Source organism: Homo sapiens, chromosome 18 (assembly GCF_000001405.40).
Source record: "Homo sapiens chromosome 18, GRCh38.p14 Primary Assembly".
Lineage (NCBI taxonomy): Eukaryota > Metazoa > Chordata > Mammalia > Primates > Hominidae > Homo > Homo sapiens.
Genome location: NC_000018.10, coordinates 34,809,883 through 34,837,482, shown reverse-complemented (window position 1 = coordinate 34,837,482; position 27,600 = coordinate 34,809,883). Strand labels below are relative to the sequence as shown.

Sequence of the window (27,600 nt, the reverse complement as noted above, 5' to 3'; positions counted from 1 at the left end):
TAAAGCAAATTCTTAACATTATGGATTCATTATGGGAACTACTCATTTTCTTTAGTAATTTAAATGACAATTTTAAAGTTTAAAATATAGTTTTATTAAAGTACAAATAGAAATATAAATAATAATTCATTAAGTGTGGCTATGGTAAAGTCATCCAAAATCTACTGTGACAATTTGTAGTCATGCTACATCGAGAACTATGGTATTGATTCTTAGTATTACAATTGTATTGGTAATGTGTTTGAAGAAAGTTTGCTCCTCTATAGGTTAAGTAAGAATTTGTCCTGCACACTGGTGAATCTAAAATTGTCCCTCTCCTTCTTCATGGAAAATAGAAAAATAAATTGTCTGTCTTTGTTTGAATACCAAATATTTAACTATTGGGATCTAAATTATGAGGTTCCACCAAAAATTTTCAAGAAACTCTAAATCTACTAAATATATATATAATGGTTTATAAATTAGTTAAAATCTTAAAAACTTTGTACTACAAGTTTTAGGGCTCTACTATAAAGCACCATTCTTTCAGGCCATGAAGTACTAAAAAATATAAATTTATACATAACACATTAGAACTATGCACATTATAGTTGGAATTCTTGCTTTATAATAGTGTATATTAAAAGATTCCTTGAATAGTGAGGTATCTGATAAATTTAATATTAAATTTGATTTGTAAAGAAAATGACTAGCAAAGAGTAGACATGCATGTTTGTCAGATGAATGACATTTTCACTCAGCTCTTCAGAAAGGCATCTGTTATATAAAGTATTGCTGTACTTAAAAAGTTCAACTGTACCCAACAAAATTGACCTTTTTTTTTTTTTTTTTTTTTGAGACAGAGTCTCGCTCTGTTGCACAGGCTGGAGTGCAGTGGTGAGATCTTGGCTCACTGCAACCTCTGCCTTCAAGGTTCAAGTGATTCTCCTGCCTCAGCCTCCCGAGTAGTTGGGATTACAGGCATGCGCCACCACACCTGGCTAATTTTTGAATTTTTAGTAGAGATGGGGTTTCACCATGTTGGCTGGTCTCGAACTCCCGACCTCAAGTGATCTGCCCCCCTCGGCCTCCCAAAGTGCTGGAATTACAGGTGTGAGCCACCGTGCTCGGCCCAAAATTGACTTTAAAAATAAATTAGATTGTGTTTTAGGATAATTTACTTTCCTGATGACCTCAATAACTTTCTTTTTCCAGCATATTGATGTTTTCCTTTTAAAACTGTGAAACCTGCCCATCAGGGCCAAATAACCACCTTCAGCCATCATTTTCTGATGTACCATTATACCACCAAAACTGTTTCTGTTTTCTGTGATGTACAGTTACCCCACCAAAACTGCATTCCAGACTTTGTCTACTGAAGCAGATCTCCATACATTCATTATGCAGTACCTACAGTACCCCTGCTGCCCAATATCCCCCCAATTCTTTTTTGTAACTAAAGATAGATGAATCTATTACATAATTTATTTCAGATGCTTGCAAAACCATTCAAAACACTGTGTGAAACATCCATGATTCTTCCCTCCAAACTAAAGTATCTCCCTGCCTTCTTATGCTTCTTTGTTCTTTGAATCTCAGAAATTGTGGCAATAATTTCTTAAGCAAACAGCCGAATAATTGCACAGGGACAACCTCTCATGCTGAACATGCAAGATAACAAGCAAGAATCAGTAGAGAAAAGAAACACAGGAACGTCAACCACAAAGATGTGTTTGCCACAAATTATTCTGGTGAACTTCTATGGGAGGAAGATGTGTCAGTGAAGGCCCAGAAATGTGGCTCCACCACCCATCACTGACAAAGCCCAAGCATGGAGGAGCCCTAGCCTCAGTACTGTGTACAGGTAGGGCTGAGAGAAGGGGGCGATAGGCCGGACTTTCCTTTGGTGGCCTTCTCCTTTTTTTTTTCTTCAAATCTTTGGGCTCCTCTCCTCCTTCCTCTACTCCACTTGCCTGTCTCTCCTCTCCTCTCCTCTTCCTTTTCTTCCTTCTTCTAACCAGGTCCCTTCTTCCCTCAAAGGAATGAGACATATTCTATATATATACATCTCTTAACTTTTGTTGTCATTTTCTTTGTGTTGGCCCTTGCCAGTGTTGGTTTAAAGAAATAGTTTAAAACCTTTTATCTTCCGTTCCTTTCCCATGTGAATTCTTAGAAAAAATAATTCTTGGAAAATATGGGAGTTACACCGTGAACATACATGAGTTTCTGGAAATAAACTATTTTGTTTTGCTATAGCTCTTAATTTCTAGTGCCAGAAGCACTTCTAACTTTTTGATACTCACTGTTCACATAGTTTCTGTAATTTCTAGAGCTAGCCTCAAATTCTTCTTCTCATCATCTGTTTCCAGGAAGCCAAAAATATGACTATGTACAGAGGAGGCCAAATGCATGATGAAAACAAGACAAAAATAGCCACTCTTTCAAAATGAAATGAATCAAGAACCTCGAGAGTTGACTGGGAGACAGGTTTCACTTAAAACTTGTGTCTTTAAAGTCTTTTCACTTGAAGTACTTTCCACCAGAACCTCTTCTCCAGCTTCCAAGCTTGAAGAGAGGCAGCAAAGTGAAATTTTTTCTCTTGAGTTGCTGTGAAAATAGTGATTGCTATGGTTTGAATATTTGACCCCTCCAAACTTCATGTTGAAATTTGATCCTCAATGTTGGAAATAGGTCCTAATGGGAGGTGTTTGGGTTATGGGGGTAGATCCCTCATGAATGGCTTGGTGCCATTCTCACAGCAATGAGTGAGGTCTCACTCTATTAGTTCCCTTGAGGGCTGGTTGTTAAAAGTAGCCTGGCACCTCTTGTCTGTGGCTTGCTTCCTCTCTCCTCATGTGATCTTGGCACAAACCAGCTTCCCTTTGCCTTCTGTCATAAGTGGAAGCAGCCTGAAGTCTCACCAGAAGCAGATGCTGATGCCATGCTTCACGTACAGCCTGCAGAACCATGAGCCAAATAAACCTCTTTTTTTTTTTTGAGACGGAGTTTCACTCTTGTTGCCCAGGCTGGAGTGCAATGGTGCGATCTTGGCTCACTGCAACCTCCGCCTCCTGGGTTCAAGCGATTCTTCTGTCTCAGCCTCCTGAGTAGCTGGGATTACAGGCACCCACCACCACACCCAGCTAATTTTTTTTTTTTGTATTTTTAATAGAGACAGGGTTTCACCATGTTGGCCAGGCTGGTCTCAAACTCCTGACCTCAGGCGATCTACCTGCCGTCGCCTCCCAAAGTGCTGGAATTACAAGCGTGAGCCACCGTGCCCAGCCTCAACCTCTTTTCTTTATCAGTTACCCAGCCTCTGGCATTCCTTTACAGCAACATAAAGGGACTAAAACAGTAATGATGTGTGGCTTATTATGATCCCTTCAAGGTGCTATATTATCACAATATTTTATGGACTAATTTAGATTCTAAACTTTGATTTTGTAGCTTGGAAGTTTGCATGGAGAAATTAAGTTTCTAATTCTTTGTGGGATTTGGGATCAGGTACAATGGAACCTACTTCCTGACTAAGGAAAGAGTGCTTCCAGCATATCATTGTGTCAGAATGTGACAATGGCTTTCATACAACCCAGACTGAGCTTCATTAAAGCTGCTTCTGTTCTACATGCCTTGTCTTCAAATCAGAATGCATTCTTCCTTTTAAGCTCCGAAACTGAGAACTATTTGGCATTCAACTTGACCATGGGATACACCTTTTCTAATCTGAGTTTCAAAGAGAAGCAAGACTATCATTTCTAAAATCATGTGCACACAAATCTCTTTTTCTTATCGCCATCTTTTTCTTTTCACTAATCCCTTGCCACTGTATGAGCACATCCTTTCACATACATATTATCACTGATGGTTGTGGGAACAGCCATACCTTTGAGGGCATGGCATGGTAAATTTTGAAGTTCATATATCTGCTGAAAGAAAAAAGGCAGGAAATATTCCTTCAGACTTTGTTTTTCTAACAAAAATCCTCTGGCTTCTCACCACTTCCTTTTTAGACCTTTGGAAAGCAGCATATCTAGAGATAAATAACCTTCCAAAATTTTTCTCACACACACACACACACACACACACACACACAGTGACACAATGGGTTCTGGAAAAGTAGAACAATCTCAAAATGTTTCATACTTATTAAAAAAATTATCCCCTTAGCTTTGAAGGGTGACGACTGATGCCAATAATTTTACTTCAGTGAAAATATTTAGGGGGTGGGTCCAAAGGTAACAAAATCACACACAGATGCTTCCTGGATACCTGAAATATATTTTTAAAAACCACTTCTGCTAATGTTGAGTTACTATATTAGCCCTTGACAAAGATTATTTTTTCTTTTATTGAACATGATATTAAAGGCCTGGCTGCAGTCTCACAGAGAACAAATATTATAGAAACAAATTATATTAATATAGAATAATTATCGCAATGGTTAAAAGAAAAACAATATTTGAAATATAGCAAATTAAGAACAGATATTTTCATTTCTATTGATTCTTAAATTATTAATAAGCTTGTATGACATTTGGATTTGTGAAGAATGACTTATAAAGTTGGCTGCCTCCTTAAGTAACTATCTATAGTGTATAAAATTTTCCTTCTCACTAGAATTATAGTCTAGTAATGAGGCCATCACACTAACTTAAATATAATAAAAAAATCCAGAAATCTGTTTTGTCAAGAAGTAATGTCTTGAAACATTGTTTCTTTTTTTCTAGATTTCAATAGCTTACATCTGAAATATAAAATATGTATTACCTGAAAATTCATAGACCAGTATTAAAAAATAGGTTAGTGTCTCAGTGGGAAAATTAGCTGTCATCAATTCAGGCTGGCATAGAAGTTCAACCATCTCAAACAGGTACCATGGAAAAAATAAGAATTCTTAGGTCATATTTAATTTACTACATTGTACCCAGGTATCATCAAGTCACAGCAATTGCACTTTTGTCAGGAGAGCCTCTAGGAAAGTTTGCTTGGTATAGGGCATGCAGAGACAACAGCCAAAGCAACTCTAGTAGGAGAGTAAAGGTTACTGAACTGAACAAGAGAGGTGACTGTGGTTTTAATGATGCATAGTATAGAAAATTATTAGGGTTGATGTGTAGACTGGTGTAATTCCAGTTTGGAAAGATCTAACATATTAGTAGAGCTCTGGGACTACATGAAGTAAAGAATTATCTGCAGAGAGTGATTATTTCAACTTCATAAAATTTCATACAACATGCCCAGAAAGTTTGAAAAGAATGAGAAATCTTCAGGGTGGTGCCAGATGTTGATTTACAAATTTATCTATTTTATGACTGAAAATGGATGGGCATTAATCTTAGAAAAAATTAGCTATGAAGAAAACTTTGATTTTCAAAAGGAGAGGCTACAATCAGTATCCAAAATTTATTTTTAGCTACTTTTGATGATCAAATCACAACTATTTAAAATTTAGCTTGAACTTTTTGAGTCAGATTAAAAGCCACGGTTGTTAAGTAAAGAATCTTTGGGTAAGCAAAAATATTTTTTAAAAATGAAAAAGGCACAGTGAATTAGCATTTCTTTGGTTGAAAACCCAAACCTATCAATCACCTGACCAACAAGTCAACCCAAAAAATAACTCACAATTTCTGCTCCTCTTGGAGGGATCAGGATTTGGGAAGTATCTGGGGTGGGTGCACTCTCCCTATAGGAACTACAGAGCCTAATACAGTATCATTTTTTATTTTTTTGAGATGGATTTTCACCCTTGTTGTCCCGGCTGGAGTGCAATGGCACGATCTCGGCTCACCACAACCTCTGCCTCCTAGGTTCAAGTTATTCTCCTGCCTCAGCCTCCTGAGTAGCTGGGATTACAGGCACCCGCCACTGTGCCTGGCCAACTTTTGTATTTTTAGTAGAGATGGAGTTTCACCACATTGGCCAGGCTGGTCTCAAACTCCTGACCTCAGGTGATCTGCTCACCTCAGCCTCCCAAATTGCTGGGATTACAGGCGTGAGCCACCTTGCCCGGCCATCTAATACAATATGATTAATTAACTACTTGTTATTGCAGCAAACCAGAAACTAGCACATTAGATTGTGTTCAACATGCTATATGAATTGTAAGCAATTTCCTAATATTTGGTGGAGTGATAAGACCTGGCTAGATGTTATATAGAATAGTCAAGGTGATTCCTTTTGTGAGTGCTTACCACTTTAGAGGTTGCAACTATGAAAATACCTGTGAAACCTTTAAATGATGTTTCTAAAATTGGAGGTAAAAGAAGTGTGACTAATTTTTTCATTAGTCTTTACTCTGACTAATGAAGAAGCTTGACCATAGTGAAAGAAGCTTACTTGACATTAAAAAGTATTGGTTAACTTTCTCATGTAAACTAAGTAATGATTATGGCAAGATAATTAAGATTTTAAAAAGGAGGCATGATGCCAAAGAAGATAGCAGATCCTAAGAGGCACAGAGCTGTGGGCAGTGAAGGGGAGAAAGAGCCTTTGGGACCTGGCTTTGTGGTCAGTCCTTGCAATAATATCTGCAATAATAATAATAATACACTAACTTTCATAAGCTTAGATAATGTTGCTGGCTCACCATACATAGCTCTTAGAGCTCTTTCCCCAGTGGTGATAATAGATTTCCATCAAATCAGCCATTCTTTCCCATAAATTTATAAGAAAACAAAATAGATTAGGGATACAGTTTACAATCAAGAAAATGAATGAAGTGAATCGGTCCATCAATTATGTTATATGACCCACATTCTACCTAACTTCTGACCAACACTGAATGTACACATGTGCACACGTGCACACACACATAGACATACACACATGTAAGAAGACTTCGAAGGACCAAGGGAGAGTGCCTTTGAGAATCGCTTTTTTTTTCTTTTAAGTAAGGGAAAAGTGAATCAAGTACAGAGCTAGAAAAGATGTAAGAACAGGGAATGCGACAGATGATGCTGGTAACCAGAGGTACACACTCATAAATCTGTGTGAAGTAGATTACTAGGATGTCAAAAGACTTCAAAGTTATATCCCTGTGTCTTTTGAAGATCAAAGTGGTATGCTTGTGAAGGGCCCTAGGTGAATAATGCCAGGAGTTTGTGGTGAGGATTCTGGAGTGGGGATTTCAATTCAGCCTCATTCAGCTTTATCTTTCTAGGATCTGTCATGATACAAAAGACTAAACTTAGGCTAAATAAAATATGGAGAACTTCTCTACTTTCTCGGTGCTGCCCTATACTGACTGGCACTATACTTGGCTTGCTTAGGTTTTATTTCATTGTTGGGATGGGCTAGGGGTGAGGGCAGAGCCATAGGTCATATTTCTTTGGTTCTGTTTCAATGATAGAAGTATAGAACCTTTAACTTTTGCCTACATCTGGCATGATAGATTTCTATCCATCTTAGTTTATCGACACGATTAAGAAAACAAAAGTGATTCACCACCAGCATTATCAAGTGATAGAGAATAAGCACAGAGAGCAAGAAACTGTTTTTGAAATTGTTACTTCATTAGGAATCAGACTTCCCTCCCTGGGGGGAAAATGGACCAGGTCCAATAGGACAGAAAGGTACAAGTCCTCAAGTCTTTAACTGCAAAGAGGTCCAGCTACATGACATTGTCCTAGCCTCACCTAGTTAATGCTAAAGATCTTTCCAACAGACTCCTTAATTCAAGAGTCTTAGAAATTACCATCTGGGTTTTTTGCAAATTGTACAAAAGCAGAGACTTGTCCAAACAAGATCCAGCTTGATACATTTCACATATATACATCTCTTATATACCGGTATGAGGCTATGAAATCCATAAAATATGTGGAAAGGAGAGGAAAGAGCTGCAAAGTCCAGCTCAAGTTGAAAAGTCTCAACACAATTTCATTAAACCCCAGAAGACCTCTATCTCCAATAAGACGTACTATGAGAGGATTTTAGTGCCAGAGTAGAATGACTTATCAGTCTAGCTATGGAACTACTACTACGATTAGCAATTCAGGGCTGGGATACTGACCGTGCACCGTGATCAAGCTGATTTACGTACAGCTTTATGAGGGAATGCTCTTCAGCCACAGGGCTGGATGCACTTATTCCCTCAGGTAACCTGAGGGAGTCAAACAATGAGACCTCATTAAAACTTCCCATGGACAGAGCAAGGCCCACTCAGAGAGGAAAGACATTTAGTGTACACAGCTTTATTGAACAGCACCCTCAAAACAGAAACCGTAGGCCAATCTCTGTGGTGACAGAAAGAAATGTGAGCTTTAAACAACACAACTGTGGTTCACAGAGAACATTCCAAAATGACTGAAAATGGGAAAAAAGGGAAATAATCATATTTTGGGTTAATGGGTACCATGCACCCTGGAGGAACCAGAACAGCTCAAAGTATTATAGGAATATTTTAGGGTAGAAGAAGTCATGTTATCCATCTAGACGCATCCACCAAAAGCACCGTCCGAGCTGAAATGATATAAAATGACCTTCAGTAAGGATGGGGTCTACCTCTGCTTGATATTTGCAGAATGCAGAGCTTCCTAATAAAAGTACATATTTCTAAACATCACATCAGGTCTTCCCTAGATAGATGCACAGACCTGTGTCTTTTACAGATTTTACAGTTTATGATTTCATTCCAGAAAAAAAAAATGGTTGCATTTGCTGGTGATTCTAAAAAAGAGTGCTAAAAGGAAGTTACTGAGGGCCTAAACCATATTATTTTACTGTGGATGTTCTGCTGTATAACTGTTTCCTTATTTCCACTTGTTACAGACCTCGTTTATACATCAGAAACCCCATTTTCTGCCATATTCTGTTTATTCTGCTAATTACAATTATGGGGAACATCTTCATCTCAGGTTCCTGTTGATGGGCACATACAGGAACTCAGAGGAAAAAAAATCAGCTGTGTTCTTAGTCTCATTGTCTTCAAATCCTCAGTTGAATGTACCAGGATATTACAGTGAAACTGGCACCTTATAAACCTCTTCAGGGAAAAGATGAATTATGTGCATTTTGTGAAATATGAGGCTGTACTTTTTTTCTGCTGAAAGGCATTTGAAATCTTATGTTCAATTACTCACTCCAATTTTCCTTACCTTTGTTTTTGCTTTCCCGTGAGCCTTCTCCATGTATTTATAAAATAATTATCTGGTGCTTGATTTGCAATATTTGATCAAATGACTCAGAGCACCTCTTGACCCTGCATATGTCTGATGCTAACTCTTAGAGAAATATTTGCTTCTCCTGTTTCTTGCTCACATGGCAATGGATCTTGTGCAAAGAAATGAGATGCAGATCCACCTTTTAAAAAAGTTCTTATTATTATCGTGAAATTACTTATATGGAAACTACATTTCCAAGTTTGGTCTTTATCCTCTAGCCTCAGGAACTCCAGGGTTCACCAACAAAGGATTCTTTTGTATCTTAGCTTTAAATAATGACACATTTCACCATTTATATAGTAACACACCATTGCATCCTGAAATTCCAGTTCTTTGACTTCAACTCTGAGGACTATGAACGTGACTTCCTTAATGAGATGGGATGCATGTGTGTCAGTAGTAAAACTGAAACATACCCTCACATTCTTACTGTGGGTAAATTATAAATGCAGGTTTCCAGACATGACATTAATCCCCAAAGCCACCCTACCCCTCTTTAAATGCATACAAATGAATGAAATTGAAAACTTATAATGGATATTTGCAAGTTAGTTTCTAGTAACAATATTCTGCCCTTGGCTTGCATGAGAATATTTTTCTTACCACAGAATCAAGGCTCATTACCAAAGAAAGGGCTTATTTTATAATAGGGTTGGAACTTACCTCCTGGTAATAAAAGGACTTCCTGAGGAGGGAACAGAGTGGGAGAACAGGGTGTCGTTCATGCTGGTTACAGGTCTGGGAGGCCTAAAACAAAACACAGGGTGAATGGAAAGTTAAAACAAATAAAAGTCACAAATTTAAAACTCTCCCTCATCCCTCCAGGAAACGGGATGGGAAGATCTGGGTTCTACCTTTCCCAGGATCAACAAGAAATCTTATATTTTCCAATTAAATTCCTTAAGTGTTTTAAAGTTACATTTCCTTGAGAATATATAATCTCAGGTAAACACTGGGAGGAAGATCTCCAGACACCATGTGAATACTGATGCATGAGCTTTGAGCCTTGATGTTTCATTGTATAATATTCTGGAATGAAGCAAGGATTTTGAAGAAGGTAGTGGCTTTACTTCTACTGCCTTCTCAAGAAGCCTTGAAGACCTGATCATTGAATCTATATTCTCTTGGAAAGAGGAAGATTCCTGAGGCTTTGAAAGGTTCCTTCTGTGTTCTCCATGATGATGGGCCTCTCCAACATGCCTGGTCTGAAAGGACACAGGCTGTAAAATCATATCATACCTTATTTGCCTTTGTTCTAAGTGAAGATGCAAGTAAGCTCCACAAGGATATATGAAGTTAGTTTCTGTTGTTTGGGTGATCCATATGATAGAGTATGTGGTGTACAGCATCCCATAAGCTTCACTTGTTTTCTTATGATAAGAGAAGGAAAACAGAATTCAATTTTCCTCAGAATTGTTCATGGTTCTACACACCAACTGCATGGAGTCTGTCTTCCTTCATCTGATTTTCATTTCATTCTGTCATTCTTTCCCCATCATGAATGTTTTAGTTCAGGTAAAATGATAGGGCTAAGATCCCTATCTCATCTCCAAGCCATTTTTACCCTTTTTTAGGTTCAATATAGGATAATGAATGGTAATATGAGATGGGACTTAGAGTTCAAAAGATGGAAAATGAGGTGGAGCATTTTCTGAATCAGAGGAAATTTCAGTTTCACTATAATTCTATATTTGAGTTTGACAGTATAGAACGTTTTGAAGATGAGACATTAATTATAGCAGCCTAAAGAATCAATTTATATTGGCATAATTAAGATCCAAATTTGTAAATGGTTTAATTTTTACCTTAGAGAACAGCTTTGGATTCTACAATGAAGACATTCTGGGAAAAAGGTAGACTTGCATATCCCAATGTATTGAATGGAATGGACCTGAAGCTCTGCAGGCTTTAAAATGTCAATACTACATGCAAAAATTCATTGAGACTTAGAATAAGTCTCTGGGGTTAGGGATAAAAGATCACAAATATGGTACAGTGTATACTGCTCGAGTGATGGGTGCACCAAAATCTCACAAATCACCACTAAAGAACTTACTCATGAACCAAATGCCACCTGTACCCCAATAACTTATGGAAAAATAAAAATAAAAAAATAAAAAATAACAAATTCATCAAAACTTTTTTCAAGGTAGCTGGTGCTAAACTATACTCTGAGATTTTGTAAGACATGTCATCTGTTGGATGAAGCCAAAACAACAGCTACTTATCTACTCTAGACAAAACTGAAGTTCTGAAAACAATCTTAGTGTTTTGCATTACTTATCTAAGACATATCTTTGATATATAAGGGAGCAACGCAAGGCTAGTTTAAAACTAATTCTGCCTTGAGTTGAACACTAGCACTTTGGAAGAAGGATGCTAATTTTATACAAATGTCCTCTGTGAATTATGAAAAGTTTGGTCTGTTAGATTTTAAAACAGTGAACAGAGTATAATATCTTCATTGTAGCTTTGCAAAGAGTTGAAAAAAATACTTGACCCCACACTTCTGATTTTGTCTTTTTTTAAAAATTTTTCCTTCTTGCTCTGTCTAAAAATGAGAAAACAAGTGGATTTAGAATGCTTTTTAACTAGCTTGATAAATGTATTCTATTGAATCTGGTCACTACAAAGCTGAAATCAAGGTTTCTCAGCAAATGGCTTTGTTTAAGGTCTACCACTGAAATGTTGAACTTTGGACAAAGAATGGCTAGCTCTGGCACCAAATGATGGTTTTCAGAGGGACTGAAATTCCTATTTCTTCCACAATCAAATGGCAAGTTACCTTATCTAACAAATGGCTCACACTGGGAATTTTGAACATATTTGGTTTTATGTAAAAGAAACAGCTCCACAAAAGAGAGTAAGTCACAATGGCCTTCTGGACAAGATCTTCACAGAGGACATTTTTATATAAGTGGCATCCTTGTGAACTGAGTGTACAGCATAAGAAGACTTAGTTCTAAACTAGCCTCATATTGCTCACTTGTTTTGTGTCTCATCCCCACTTATGATCATGATTATACATCTTTGTAAGTAGACTGGAAATGACTGCACTACTTACCAAGTATCACTTTTGGCAGCGAAGAATTGAACAGAATAGAGACCGTTAATCATGGTAATATTTACAAGCAATACAATAGCTAAGAACAAATGTCAAAATACCAAAATGTCACCACCTGCTCATTTCTATTTAAGGACTAATTCATGACTGGCAGCACCTCTCTACAAGGTGGGTAGAAAAAAAAAGTCCCTTGGCTATAGTTAAAAAAAAAATGGCATTTTCTGTGTGTCACATGCTTCATTTCCATATACAAATGTATGTATGTGTGTGTATATGTGTGTGTATTAGTACCGCAACCTGTTTAAAAATCCTATTGATTTAATTTTTTTTTTTTTTTTTTTTTACTGTATCTAAGGCTACCTGTAAAATGTTAACTTGTTACATAGTCAGACTGTGCCATATTTTTGCCATTTTTTCACATTTAAGTTGTGGCCAGGTATGGTGGCTCACACTTGTAATCTCAGCCTAGGAGTTCCAGACCAGCCTGGGTAATATAGAGAGGCCCTATTTCTACAAAAAATAAAAAAAGAAGAAAAAAGAAAAAGTTGGAACTTGAGTTTTAAATGAGTAATAAAAATATTTTCTAATGTATTGATAAAGCATTTTCCACTTATTATTTTCTTAATTTTATTTGTATCTTATAATGCTTTTGCTGCTCACCTTTGGATGCAATATATATTAGAGGACTAACAGCATTTTTTTTATTTTACTTTAAGTTCTGGGGTACATGTGCAGAACCTGCAGGTTTGTTACGTAGGTATACATGTGCCATGTAGTAAAAAAAATTTTTTTTTTTTTTTGAGATGGCGTCTTGCTCTGTCGCCTAGGCTGGAGTGCGGTGGCGCGATCTCGGCTCACTGCAACCTCCGCCTCCCTGGTTCACGCCATTCTCCTGCCTCAGCATCCCGAGTAGCTGGGACTACAGGCGCCCACCACCACGCCCGGCTATTTTTTTTGTATTTTTAGTACAGACGGGGTTTCATCGTGTTAACCAGGATGGTCTCGATCTCCTGACCTCGTGATCCGCCCGCCTCAGCCTCCCCAAGTGCTGGGATTACAGGCGTGAGCCACTGTGCCTGGCCAGCAATTTTTAACACAATCATTAAACAGCAAGATGTGCATTTAAGAAGACTGTATAATGTTCAACATCAAATTTTATATCCATGAGCTCTATAATGTTCTACATATTTCAGCACTATGTAAGGACATACAGTTATCCTTCACTTAAACATGTACATCATGGAATTTTTTTCTGAATATGTCTTTGAAGAATTTGTATTAATTTACAAAATCAACACACTTTTTCACAGTGGCAAAAAAATGTTTTATTTTGAGTCTGTGCTATAATTCCCAATGTCCAGAACCTCAGGTCATCAGTACAGGACAGAGGATGCCCATCAATATTGCCAATGCTTGCACCCCACTCACTGCTCCCTTCTTACCTCTGTCTGTAAGCTTATCTATGGGTGTAACTGATGTGGACTGGGATATTTTTGTGACACTACATCCAAAGAATGACAAAGATGTGGTTTGTACTACAATTAAAGATTGCTTAATAAATTATTTAGTAAAGCAAGGGGAAAGATCAGAGAGGGAATGAGGATGACCAAGACAGAGCTATAGCTAGAAAACATGTTTATTGCTATGTATAGTTCTAAGGAACATACTTTTAGGATGATTTTTGCTAGAGACTCAATGATAAAGTGTCTTACTATACACATTTCTGCACTATGACAATATTCCTTCTGCATAAGACCTTTATAATTTAAGTCATATTTGGGAGTAATAAATTAAGCGCATTAAGTGGAGGTGGGAGTATTGGTGTGTTTTATTTCTTAAATTTCACTTATTTCCATTGTACAGCACTGTATAAAAGTAGTGGGCTTATTATAAAATGACATGGTATGGAATGTCATATATTTTTGTCTAATTTATCAAAATCTTATTTACATACATTTGGAAGAAGTGTGAATATTCATTAATTCCATGTACATGTTCATTATAGCAGATTAAGAGAGCATTCTTCTTTGTAAATGATTAAGGCTTAATACCATTTATTTTTTCATTTCAATGGCCTTGATGTGCCTATGATAATTTAGAATAGTTAAATGAGCAATGCATTTTAAAATTAGAAATCTCAGAAAAAAGACATGGATATCTACTCATGACAATAGCATTTGAAAAAGAAACAAATATGGAAAAAATTTCTATGGCTAAAAATAGAAAAAAAATTCTTTTCTAATATAGACTTAACATTCTACATCCAGAATGTCTTGTATGTTATTTCAACAATTAAATATCTTGTACAATTTGCATTTTAAAATTAAAACTTTCATCCTGGGAAAATATGTTATCAGTGAGTAGAGATCAGTATTTTGATTCAAGGACTCTTGAGGATCTGGTAAAATACATAGAGGTTTTTCTCAGAAGACACATTTTGTACAGAATTTTAAAATCTCTCCATGGAACATAAACTAAGAACGCATTGTGAGGCTATAGCCCTCAGTTAATTCAATAAATAACAAAACAGATTATATTGCCCCGTAAGTCAAAATGTAAAAATTATTACTCAGCCAATTAAATACTTCTTTCTCCCTCTCTTTCTCTCTCTCATGCAGACACACACGTGCACACACACACACACACCACCCAATCCTAGCACCCACTGGGTACAGGCCCTGAGCTAGATAATACTCCAGTGGGACTCACTGTGAAATGGACTTTTACGTTGCAGTGCATCACGTTCTAATTCTTTGGAGGAGTGGGAAGCAGCAAAGCTCTTAGAGCCAGGCTATTCACACCCACACCCTCTATCTTCATGACACCCAGCAGCTCTGTTGAAGGCTGCTCTCTTGGGGTGAAACTCCCAGCAGGGCTGGTAGGAAATTACTCTCGGCAGAGCTCAGGGAGCACTGGCTGCTCTCACTTCGCTGTGGTCATTCATTAGCAACTTAGTGATTGTGTCTAATTGGTTATGGGAAGGAAAGTCTAGATCTTAATAAGGTTCTTAATAAGCATCTGTGAGGTAGATTTCTGCAAGTGGTTGGCCCTTTGGGACATTCCCCAGATTTATTTACCCCTGGCTTATTTTAAGGCTTATTTATAGAAACATAATTTCCAAAAATAAGCTAGCCACATTCTACAGAATTAGTTTACATTAGTTTCTGGAGGCTGAGCCCATGCCAGCTTGTAAGCTGAGAAACAGGAGCCTCCAGGCTGTGTATACTGCTGAGGTCAGAGATGCCTCAGAGCATCCCCGGGAACAAGCAAAACAAAGCCCCAAAGTATTTATACAAAGCTCACAGACGTGACCCAACACAAATCGTTTGGTGGTATTTGCTAAGGTCCATCAGAGAACATAGTTGCTGCTTCCACGAAGGTCTCATACCCACCACAGTGCCCCTTATGGATCATATGCTGAACTGCCTGAAGCATGAACTTTGCATTGTTGAATTCCTATACCGGTAGGTCCCGTCACCCACCTCTTGATGTCAACATGCAAACACAGGCCCTATGGTGTGATAGGTCCCACTGAAGTGTGGAAAACTACAGGCAGTTCATAAGGAGGCATCTGTGACTACATGACATCTAATTGTGCATAGAAGCAGGTAATGAGACTCTTTCTTCTTATGAGCCCCAGGTAACACCAAGGAAAAAATTGTTTCTTCTACCTAAGCCCCCTTGTTATCTTGGCCACCCAGGCCTGAGAGAGGTTCAAAGGCATGAAACTTCTGGGAGGTAGCAGGGATGGCTGGAAGGACTGTTTGTTGGCCCAACACCTTCTGCCACGAAACTCACACATACTTTGAAGAAAAGAATCTATGGATATTCTGATAAATTTTCCCGCCACTCCCCCTCTTCAACCTTCCCCTGCACAGGCTATGATTCTTCTAAAGTTATACAGCTTGGGATGAAAAACAAAAGTAATTTCTAGGTTTGCTGGCATCTTAAACTGGGTCTGCAGAGAAATAAAACAAACAGCTTTTATATTTGGAACTCAAAGCACATATGAAATTAAGGAATAATATACTGTAAATCATTTTTTACCACAGTGATCCCATTGTTAACTTCCAATGTGCAGACACCACTAACATCCGTATTTTATAACTAAGCTTTCTGAAATATTTTCCACCTCCAGGTGAATTATGTTAGTGTTGCATACTTTACTTGTCCAGCCTGGTGGAAGTACTGTACACCTCAACAACAACAAAAAATTATGATGGCATTACTCTGACTTTTTTTTTTAAACTAAATTAAAAATCTTGGTTGCTGACCACTGATAGGAAATTGCTTTTGTGTGGCTCCAGACATGTGCCCTTGAAGAAAATTGTCTCTATACTGGGAGGGTAGGGATACTCACACGATGTGAGCCAAGTTGAGTGGCTTCTCAGGCTGATCTGGGAACATGGGGTGCAAAGGTTCACGGCTGGAAGCACAGCTCAGGGACTTGCTTAATGCATTAGTCAGCTTCTTAGCAGGTGATTTCTGGAAAGAAGAAGGAAGGCAGAAGTGACAACAGCTAATATTTATGTAATATTTTATCAAATGATTTGCTTTTCATAATAGATATTCATTTACGGAAGAAATCCTTTTTCAGTGCTGATTCTGAGTCTGGAAGTTTGCTCAATGCTCGGAAAAGAGTTTCCGAACAAGCTGCCTCCTGCTGCTCAGTGTCAGCAAATGCTACAATAAATGGAAGCAGGCATTGTGCATGGGGCACCTGCGCTGGGACTTAATGGGCCTGCAGGAATCCTTCTGACAAAAACTCAGCAGACTGGGAAGGTCATTCGAGAATGGAGGAAGCAGCAACAGTGAAGGGAGCCCTTCTGGGGAGGAAAGCAGGAGGCAGATCATCAAAATCTTTATATGGCTTGTTAAGAACTGTCTCTTTATCCCCAGGACAGAGGCAGACCATGAAGAGTTTACATCACAGGCATGACAGCATCAGACCTGATTCTAGAAGGACTGCTCTCACTTAAGAACAGAAAATGGTTTGTGAGGAAATAGGCTTGGAATGAAGATGAGTGGAAGATTTTGCGGGAATCCAGGTGCAAGAAAGATGTTTCAGGTGTGGCTGAACACATCCAGTTAGAAGTGAAAATGGAACTTCAATCTGAGTCTTCAGAATTTAAAATTCAGGTTATTTCCAGAGAATCACGCTGCCTCTTCTTCGTTTAGATTGTTGGGAAATTTATCCTGATGTTATACAGTCAAAATTTTATAAAAAGTAGCCTACCACATACATTAGGTTGGTGCAAAAGCAATTGCGGTTTTTGCCATTTGAAAGTAATGGCAAAAACCGCAATTGCTTTTGCACCAACATAATAATAAAACCTTAACCATGTTTTTCCTTTCCATAAGAAACCATTTCAAATTTTGTCACTTTCTTTTATACCTAGAGTCCATAATTGGTAATATAATGAAGTGACTATTGTCCTCATTTTTTAAAAGCTAAGTAATAAGAGCATTGCTCAAGAAATCCCTCTGGCTTTTGTTAGGAGATGTAATTCTTAGAACAGTTAAGACAGCAGCAACAGCAGCTCTTTGCCCCACAAACCACAGGGCCTTCTGTCCTCTCAAGGAGTCTGATCCTTCTTTGTACAGATAGTGCCCTGGAATATAATGTTAGGTCTACAACCCCTAAGAAAGAGGCTCCTTATGTAGATTTAGCATTTATGTAAAACAACTAAATCTGATTAGTTTTCAAACATCAAATCTTTTAGGATATGGGGTAGAAGTTTGAAAACTGGTAATATGCTAACAATAAGAAAATAGAAAGTTTTAGCTCCTTTCTTCTAAACTAAGTTGTAGTTCATGATCCGTGTTAATGTATCTATCTGTCCTCAGCATGACATAAACAACAGTGAGGAGTTGCATTGGAATTGGCAAGTTCTCAGTATACTCTTCCTTAGTGAAGAACTGTTGCTTGAATTCAGAATCTGACCGGTGATGAAGTACTAGTATATTTACACTGAATATTGGTTCCCAATAATAATTCCTAGGAAGAACATTTTGATTTAAGATGTATATTCTGAAGACTTCTTTAAGTAAAGACTAAAGGTTGAATTGAAATATATTAAAATATAGAAAAACTCATAAATAGGTTGGATTTTCTTGTGACGGAACTATTCCAAGAGGTGCTGGAAGGGCTGATGGTATATCCCACAAGAACCAATCTGTACACCTTACAAAAACCAATCCTTGAAGAGATGCACGAGGGCAACATTGCTGGAACTGATCTTTGAGTTTAACGAAGATAAACATCAGTAAATCATAATCCATTTGAACAGTGAGCACATGGAGTCACATTTCCTCCCACAGACCTGGTACCACATGCTCCTGAGAATACATCTATCACACAGACACTCACATGCCACCTTTGCCAGGTTGGTCACTCACACTCTTCATGAAAAGATGGTTTGCTAATATAACCACAATCTCCCCTCCCCACCCTCTGCAGAAAAGTAAAATGGAACAGTATTATTAAGTCCACACTCTCCTCTCATACTTGTTTCTTTAATATTCTAGTCACGCACTTAAAAGAACTCCAGAATCTAAGAAAAATAAAACTAACAATAATTTTTAAGCCGTTTCCACAAAACAAAACTTGGAAAAGATTTTAACTTACTGTGAATGTAAGATTATGTTCCAGAAGGTCCTTGCTATTCAGTTGTTATTTAAATCAGTACTGAATTATCTATATTCCAAGAAGTAACATAGTTTTGAGTCTTCCTATATTTTAAATCTCAGGAAGCTACACTGGGTTCCAACAGAATAAGTAAGAGCACGCAGTAGGGTGGAGAGTGGGAGGAAGGGGGACTGAATACTAGACCTGGGATGGAAGGTAAGTTTGCCCTTTAATTCTGCCACCATCCTTGATATTCCCTTTAACTCTGGGCAACACTCACACATCCAACTCCAAGTATTGCCTGGACCTTGCCTTACCCATGACGTGTACTCTTTCATTTGGTGCTGGTTGCTATGAGAACCACCGGCATGTCCCCTCCAGAAGCAGTCCTGACAGAGCTGGTAATTGTGACACTGTTGGCATCGGTAGCGAAATCCCATCATACTCTCACTGTGGCAGTAGGAACACTCAACCGGATGGAAGACTAAGGGGGAAGTAAGTGAAGAAAAACCAAGAAAACAAAAGTATGAACCAGAAGAAGGAAAAATACAGCCTTACAGGAATTGCACCTTTCTTCTCTGCACCACGATTTCAGATGATAGTTGATTTGGGCTCAGAGAAACATTTAGTTCATTCCTGGAATCTTACAACCCTTTTCAATCATGCCTGTGGGGAAATGAAATGAAATGGGATGGAGAAGAGGTGTCCTTTTAACAACAAAAATCTCTGTAATGCCATTTGCTCTTTCTATTCCCATCTCTCACATTACAAGAATTTAAATTAGCCAAACAGACTTGCCTTTACCCCAAACTGCTCTCTGTCTCCAGGAGACCAGCACAGCTCACTGGAAGACTCAGAAGCACAAGGGGTGAATGCTGATTGTCCAGTGGGAAGAGAGCGAATATCAGAGACACGGAGAATGAGAGGAAGAAAAAAGAAAGGAAGATGGGCAGAGAATGGAAAACTGGTGTGGATGAGATAATTAAGTTATTTTTTAAAAAATAGAGTGACTAATGGCTTACTTAACGAGTGGTGTTGCCTACATCTGACAAACAGATTTTTTTTTCTTTCCTGAGGCAGGTGTATAGGGCCCTAAAAAAGATGTGCAAATTATCTGAAAACAGTTCTAAATAATTCAAATGCCTCAAGAGACGGTTAACTTTCTTTGGTAGGAAATTTGAATTATAAAGCAGGCAAAGCAAAATACTAGATTTGAAGCAAAGTAAAATATTAGATTTAAGTGATCAAATCCAAGTAATTGTCTACATGCTATGAGCTAGATACTAAAACAACAATAACAATTCTTGCCTTTGGTAAAGCTATTCTCCGGCCTAACCAGTCAGGAAAAACAATGAAAATAATAATAAATGAAGATAAAAAGCAAAGTGTAAAAACAAAGACATAACTAGCTCTGGACGCATTGTCTTCTAAACAAGTGTCATAACCTTTCTTCCCGGCTCTTGAGAAAGACTAGAGTGGGACTTCAATCTAGGGACAACTGTTCTGGGATGGTGCCTAAGAAACTGATCTCCTGCAGCAGGAAATGCTGAGAGAGAACGAAAGAAATTATAGCTTTATGATTGGAAAATGACTAGTTCTAGAACTGTAAACAGTAACGTGAACTCATTTTGCATAATAACATGGACCTTGATTGCTCTTCGCTTCTGCATATGGATAAACATAAAAAAACTATGATTGTTAGTGATTGCAAAAAAATAAAATAAATTCATTCTTTAAATTTTCTCCATGAGAAAAACAGGATAAATTCATAACTTCTAACTAACAGATAAATAAGGGCAGATGCTAAAAATTCTGAATGATAATTTAAAATTAAGCTAACTTTAGCTGCAATGTATATTAAAGAAATACACAGAAGTTGAGTAATATATAGAGACTTAAGTTAAATCTCAGTAAGAGATAGAGACTAAATTATTTCCTCGTCAAGTCTGGAGAAATTTCAGAGTTACATTGAACAATAAGTAGGAACACCTAAAGATTAGATGGAGGCACTGAACTGCTCCATGTTTAATTTTCTGTAAATTTTGCCCCAAATGGTATTTCATATTTAAATCTGGATATGCCAACAGTAGTTCCTTTTATCCTAGAAATACTTGCTTTAAAAAAAGACATGATACGAAAGTTATTTTACTCTTATCTTTAACGTAAGTACAACTATTGAAAGCTCACAATCTGGAACATATGACTAAAGATTAACAGGGTGCTATCATCTATTTTTTTTTCTCATTTCTCCCACCTATTTCTGGCTGAGTGCCTGGGAAGAAATAATCAGTACCGTGTATGCAAATATGAGAAATTCGGATCTAAAACAAATACAAAATAATGTCACACTCCTTGTTGAAGTTCGCCTTCTATCGTGCCAAGTCTTTTAACCACACCTGACTTGTAATTGAGAAGAAGACCATGAGATTTATTTTTGGAACTGACAGTCCTAATTTTTCAGTGGTCCTTTAAGGCCTTCCCGAACAGGGAGATGGGTTAGTTCTACCCTAAACAAAACTAAGAGCCACTAAATAGGCTTCCCTAAAACAACAGCCTGGGCTTACTAACTGTAGAACTAATGGCCTAATTTCAATAATTTAAAAAATCACCTTTGCTCCTTAGTAACTACTCACCATTTTCCACATTTGCTAGTCGATGCAGAAGAGGCAACCAGACCAGACACTGCGGGGGAGGATCTGACATAAGCGTGTCCAAGAAACCATTTAACGTGACTTTTTTCTGCATAAAAAAACCCCCCATAAATTTAGGACAGAGAATCATCTCAATTTACCTGCTATGTAAATATCATATCATTTGAGACTGAAACAAAAGAGCACTCAATAAATGTCTAATATCTGAAGAAACAGAACTTGCCAAATGTGTTATTAAACTAGTTTAGAACTGAAAACATCGTTTGCTTTTTATACCTAAGCAGACATAGGACTGAATTCTCTCCACTGAGGCTGAGTCAATAGTATCACCAGGAGAAAAACAATTCCAAGAGCATCATTTGTATATATGAAAGACAGTATAAAAATAATGAAGCAAAATAAAGAATGGAAATTCTCCATGGAATTTTACTCAAGAACGCATCATAGCTCACTCTACAATTTTCCTGTCAGTCAGTCTTCTAAATTTATAGAACAACTTCCCTTCTGAGCTTCCTCAACTTCCTTAAGTACTAAATATTTAGTGGTTAATGTGAATGGTTCTGTTATACAAGAGCAGGAGGGAATCCTGTTAGGACAGAACCATCTACATTTTTAAAAATTTGCTCCTTTTATTACTTTATATATAATTCCTCTCAATTCAGTCTGCTTCTTTCTCACTATCCAGGTCCTTTTGGATGTACAAAAGGAATGCATTGTATCTATAAGTTTCTTTCAAAATGATAAAAGTAAGAAAGCTATATTAATACATGTACTGTAATGGTATAAATAAAAAAATACATATTTATATGCAAAAATCACTACTTGAAATTTTGAACTAGAATATCAAAGGGGATGGGATAATTTTATTTATTTATTTTTTAAAATATTTTATTTATTTGCTTGAAAGATGGGGTCTCATTATGTTGCCCAGGCTGGACTCTAACTCCTGGTCTCAAGCTGTCTTCCTACCTCCTCCTACCTACCTCAGACTCTTGAGTAGCTGTTAATAGCCAATTCATTAAGTACAAAAATAAACTGGTCTTATTATTTTTGTGTTACCTCTTTTCATATTTGAAATGATCTTATTCATTTTGACTATTTGTCATACTTGCTAAAAAGCACTCCTGGAAGTTTCCAACAATGCTATTATGATTTCAACATGTATAAGTTGCTTATCATTAAGGATATATATAAATCATATAACAGAACAGTCTATAGGATATTTCAAAAGGAATTTTGAACATGTCAACATCACATATAATTCTTGAACACATAGGTCCTTTTTTCTCTTTTTTTTTTCTTTTAGAGACAGGATCTCACTCTGCTGCCCAGGCTGGAGTGCAGTGGCACAATTATAGCTCACTGCAACCTTGAACACCTGGGCTAAAGGGATCCTCTCATCTCAGCCTCCCAAGTAGCTGGGACTATAAGTGTGTGCCACCACACCTGGCTAATTGTTTAATTTTTTTTTTTTTTCAGAGATGAGATCTTACTATGTTGTCCAGGCTGGTCTTGAACTGCTGGACTCAAGCTCTCCTCCTGCCTCAGCCTCTCAGTGCTAGGATTACTGTGTGAGCCATCACACCAGCATAGGTCCTTTTAAGATTTTTTTTTTAAAACCCAGTCCTATTATTCTAGCTGATTTTGAATGAGACATATATTCTGAGGCATTAGCACATTTACCAATTATTCTATAATACACTAACTAAAATTCAAGAATTCAGTTATAAATGAAATTATTCTTGTTTCCATGACTGGGTGAAGTAATACAACAGGTAGTTACATTTCCTTGAGTCAGATCATCTGCATATTTGTAAATATGAACTGAAAGTGCACAAAACAAAAGCAACAACAACAAGAACACAAGAATAACATTAACAGATGGAATTAGAAGACCAGAGTTAAAAACTCAGCCCCCTGCCCTCACTAGCTATGAACTTTATATTGTTAAAAAAGAATCATATTTTCCTTGTTAGGTCACAGGGTTGTTGCAAGCCATAAATCAGATAATTCACTTTGTGAGGCATAAAGCACTGTAAAAATAAAAGGAGCCATACATTTAGCATGCCATGAGAAAAGTTGGAAAGCAGTAAAATTGAATGAAAAAATAGATTTGTGTTTTGAAGTGATTGACTTTTTTTTTTTTTTTTTTTTTGAGATGGAGTCTTGCTTTGTCTCCCAGGCTGGAGTGCAGTGGCACAATCTTGGCTCACTGCAACCTCTGCCTCACGGGTTCAAGCAATTCTCCTGCTTCTAGCTGGGACTACAGGTGCCTGCCACCATGCCCGGCTAATTTTTGTATTTTTAGTAGAGACGGGGTTTCAACATATTGGACAGGCTGGTCTCAAACTCCTGACCTTGTGATCCGCCCGCCTTGGCCTCCCAAAGTGCTGGGCTTACAGGAGTGAGCCACCTCACCCGGCCTATTGACACTTTTAAAAGTTAATTTCAGTAAAAAGAAAAGACTTCCTGACTCTTAATCCATAAAGCTGTGTAGTGAGCATTTGTTGTATGCATTTTATGGGGCAGGGATATACCTTTTTTTTTTTTTTTGAGACAGGGCCTTGCTCTGTCGCCCAGGCTGGAATGCAGTGGCGCCATCCGGGCTTAAGCTATCCTCCTGCCTCAGCCTCCTGAGAAGCTAGGACTACAAGCATGTACCACCATGCCTGGCTATGTTTTAAAAATTTTTCGTAGAAATGGGGTTTCCCTATGTTGCTCACACTGGTTTTGAACTCCTGAGCTCCTGAGCCTCGGCCTCCCAAAGTCCTGGGATTATAGGAGTGAGCCACCACACCCAGTCAAGAGGCATTTTTAGAGGACAAAAAAGTTAGTTTGGATTCTCAAAAAATGGTAAACTAACCTTTAATGTATGGATTTCTATGCTACCACTGGGCTACGCTGGAGAATGGGCCTGGAGTCTCTCTACATGACCAGAGAGGTACACACATAGATAGCCCCCTAAACTATGCAGCTTCCCAGGGTAGCTTGAGCCATACCCAGTTAAAACACATCACTTGGAACCCCAAATGTGTCATGCTGTAGAAGATTCAGGCAGCTGTGTTTACCATATTTTGGGCCTCTCAGGTCATGATGTGGCAGATGTTGGGATTCCTTTCTGGTATCCTTTGCTAAACCAATGTTAAAGCTTGTTGCCGGGTCAAGCATATATTTCACATGAGGCTGAGTGAGACAATTAAGCCCTTTTGAAAGTGCAGTGATAGTAAAAATAATGACACTGAGGGTGTAGGTGATATGGTAAGGCTTTGTGTCCCCACCCAATCCCATCTTGAACTGTAATTCCCAGGTGTTGAGGGAGAGACCTGGTGGGAGGTGATTGGATCATGGGGTGGTTCCCCCATGCTGTTTTCATGATAGTGAGGGAGTTCTCAGGAGATCCGATGGTGTTATAAATGGCAGATTCCCCTGGGCTTTTCATTCTTTCTCTTTCCTGTCGCCATGTGAAGAAGGTAGGTCTTTGCTTCCCTTCACCTTCCACCAGGATTGTAAGTTTCCTGAGGCGGAACTGTGAGTCTGTTAAACCTCTTTTCTTTATAAATTACCCAGTCTCGGGTATGTCTTTATAGCAGTGTGAAAAGAGACTAACACAGAAGGGTTGTTGTAGGGATTAAATTAGACAATGAAAGGAAAAAATTTAGCACAGTGCCTGCCTCATGGTCAGTAAACACTGTCTATTATTGTGATCCAGATGTGCTGGGTTTAGTTACTGGCTCAGAGGTCATTTGCCAGAGGCTGAAAAATACAATACAGGTTGCTATCACACAGAATAATTTGTCTGAGTATCTGTGACCTGGAATGACATCTAGAAGGAGAGCAACCACTGTTTGAAAGAGATACTTCCTTAAACATATTTTTCTCCTACCTGTTGGGAGAAACAGGATCTGGCTGACTGTTCTGTGTAACCAAATGAAGGACCTTCAAAAACTGCCGTGGGTAGTTTGAGAACTTCCCGAAGGAATTGGTCATATCGTCCATAAACCATCACCCCACTGGAGTCAGAAATCATTGAGAAAATATCTGATGAAAGGAAAAGGAAAGATATTATTCATCACATGAACATTCTCCACTGTTTTTGTTCAATATATCTGCTACAAATGACAAAAAAGTAGCAAAATAAACATTTTTTATGAAAGAATAATATAAAAGCTAATTTTTATGCTGAAATATTCCTGGCATAATGTTTTCTCTGGTTTCTTTTTGTAGATGATTCTGGCACATAGCAATCACAAGTAATTTGGGTAAAGTTAACATTTTAATGAGAGAGACACTTATTAAATGTCTTTAATAAGACACTACATTTTTGTTTTGAGGTCAACTATTAACTCTCATGTAGCTCAACAAGAGAAATTTTTGTATATATGAGAGAGACGCTGACTTCATTTGAAACACAATGAGAGTTTTACTATAAAGTTGGGGTGTGCGTATATTCATTTATCTAGCTAGAAATTTACCAATTTATATTATCACTAAAACTTTCGGATTTTGGTGTAAGATATTTGAAAATCAAAGACACGGTGAGGATAAAGATGTAATGACAAACACTTGATTAACTTCCTACAGAAGAAGAAAACTTTCTATGAATTACAGTTTTCTGGGTGGAAGGCACTTGATTTACAGGGAAGGGTTTTCTGACTCGTGTAGTGAAGAGGAAGCCTGGTCTTGTGGATGATCAATGAGGTAAAGTCAGGGTCCTGGATCTTTCTCTGAAGGGCCTATGGCTTCACTGAACCACTGTTCTTCAATTTCTGCCACTATGTGCATTTAATGAATATTAATGGCATAATTTCCCAAGGTGTTTTATAATTCCTCTGTGCAAATCACTATTAGAATGAAAGGGTTTGCTATTATATAGTTTGTCACCATGCTAACTAGCTTGTCACCAGGCCAGCACAGCTGCTGGGATAAACTGCTGTGAATGTGCCACCTCTATTCACTTTAGGTTTAATTTTTCAAGGTCAAAATATAATCTGGGAACATTGTTTTTACACCAAAGTCAGATGTTAAGCATATCAGAGGCTTTTATCGGATTATGGTTTTGAGAACATGAATTGACTCTCATTTTCATTAAATACTCCATTTATAAAGGGTTTCCGCTGTTTCAAATAGTTTATTAACCATGAGACTGTAGAGATTCTATCTGAGTAAAAAAATTAATGTACATATTTATGGGCTACAGAGTGATAGCTTGATACATGTGTTCAATGTGTAATGATCACATCAGGATAATGGGCGTTACCTTCATTTCAAACATTTATCATTTCTTTGTATTGGGAATATTCAACATCTTCTCTTCCAGCTTTTTGAAAATATACAATAAAATTTTGTTAACTATAGTCACCCTACAGTGCTATAGAACACTCGAACGTATTCCTCCTACATAGTTGTAATTTTGTAGCCATTAGCTAACCTCTCCCTATCCCCCCAACCTCCTGCAGCCCCCTACCCTTCCCAGCCTCTAATAAGCACAATTCTACTTCCATGAGTTCAGTTTTTTTTTTTTAGCTCCCACATATGAGTGAGAACATGCAGTATTTATCTTTCCGTGCGTGACTTATTTTACTTAACATAATGTCCTCCAGGCTCATCCCTGTTGCCTCAAATGACAGGATTTCATTCTTTTTTATGGCTGAATTGTACTGAGGAGTTTAGGTTGTGTCCAGAAGATGCTGAGGGAGATACTGAAGAATTTAAAGTAGGTCAGTGCGTTAGAAAGTCTATGGGTAGGCGTAGAGGCAAAACAACCAGTTCAGTAATAGAAACTCAATAAATATGCAGTATTTTCCATAATACTAGTCTTTTAAAAAGACTTAAAAAGTCCTCCCCAAAGCTTTAGAACAGCACATGACATACCAGGCTTACAGCATTGGATTTAGAATCCCTTAAGATCCTTAGAACTATCCAGGAGCCCTAAGACAGAAGTATAAACAAATGTTCCAACCCATTAAAACAGCTTATAATTGGGCCAAGAACAATCTGACAAAATAGTAGTGTTATTAGGTAAGTTTATGTTTAGGTTGCCATGGCACATGACTGCAGGGGGCGCCCTTCATCTCCTAAGCTGTGTCAATGATGCTCCCTGGAATTACACAGGGA

The 27,600-nt window shown here is 37.8% G+C and overlaps 1 protein-coding gene across 70 annotated transcripts in view; it reads right to left on the bottom strand.

The window, feature by feature from the left end:
* Window positions 1–27,600, bottom strand: part of DTNA (dystrobrevin alpha) — a 398,533-nt gene that overhangs the window by 54,362 nt on the left and 316,571 nt on the right. For 31 of the 70 annotated variants that reach the window (XM_047437323.1, XM_047437332.1, XM_047437321.1 and 28 more), the window contains 5 exons: window positions 25,370–25,524; window positions 21,469–21,574; window positions 19,153–19,319; window positions 16,568–16,692; window positions 9,807–9,890 (listed from right to left, as the gene is read on the bottom strand). In XM_047437323.1, the coding sequence (XP_047293279.1) occupies window positions 9,807–9,890; window positions 16,568–16,692; window positions 19,153–19,319; window positions 21,469–21,574; window positions 25,370–25,524 (637 nt within the window). Of the gene's footprint in view, window positions 1–7,993; window positions 8,084–8,158; window positions 8,443–9,806; window positions 9,891–12,207; window positions 12,217–16,567; window positions 16,693–18,835; window positions 19,522–21,468; window positions 21,575–25,369; window positions 25,525–27,600 lie in introns of those variants that run through there. The other 39 variants (XM_047437318.1, NM_001386754.1, NM_001386755.1 and 36 more) reach the window with 9 other exon arrangements.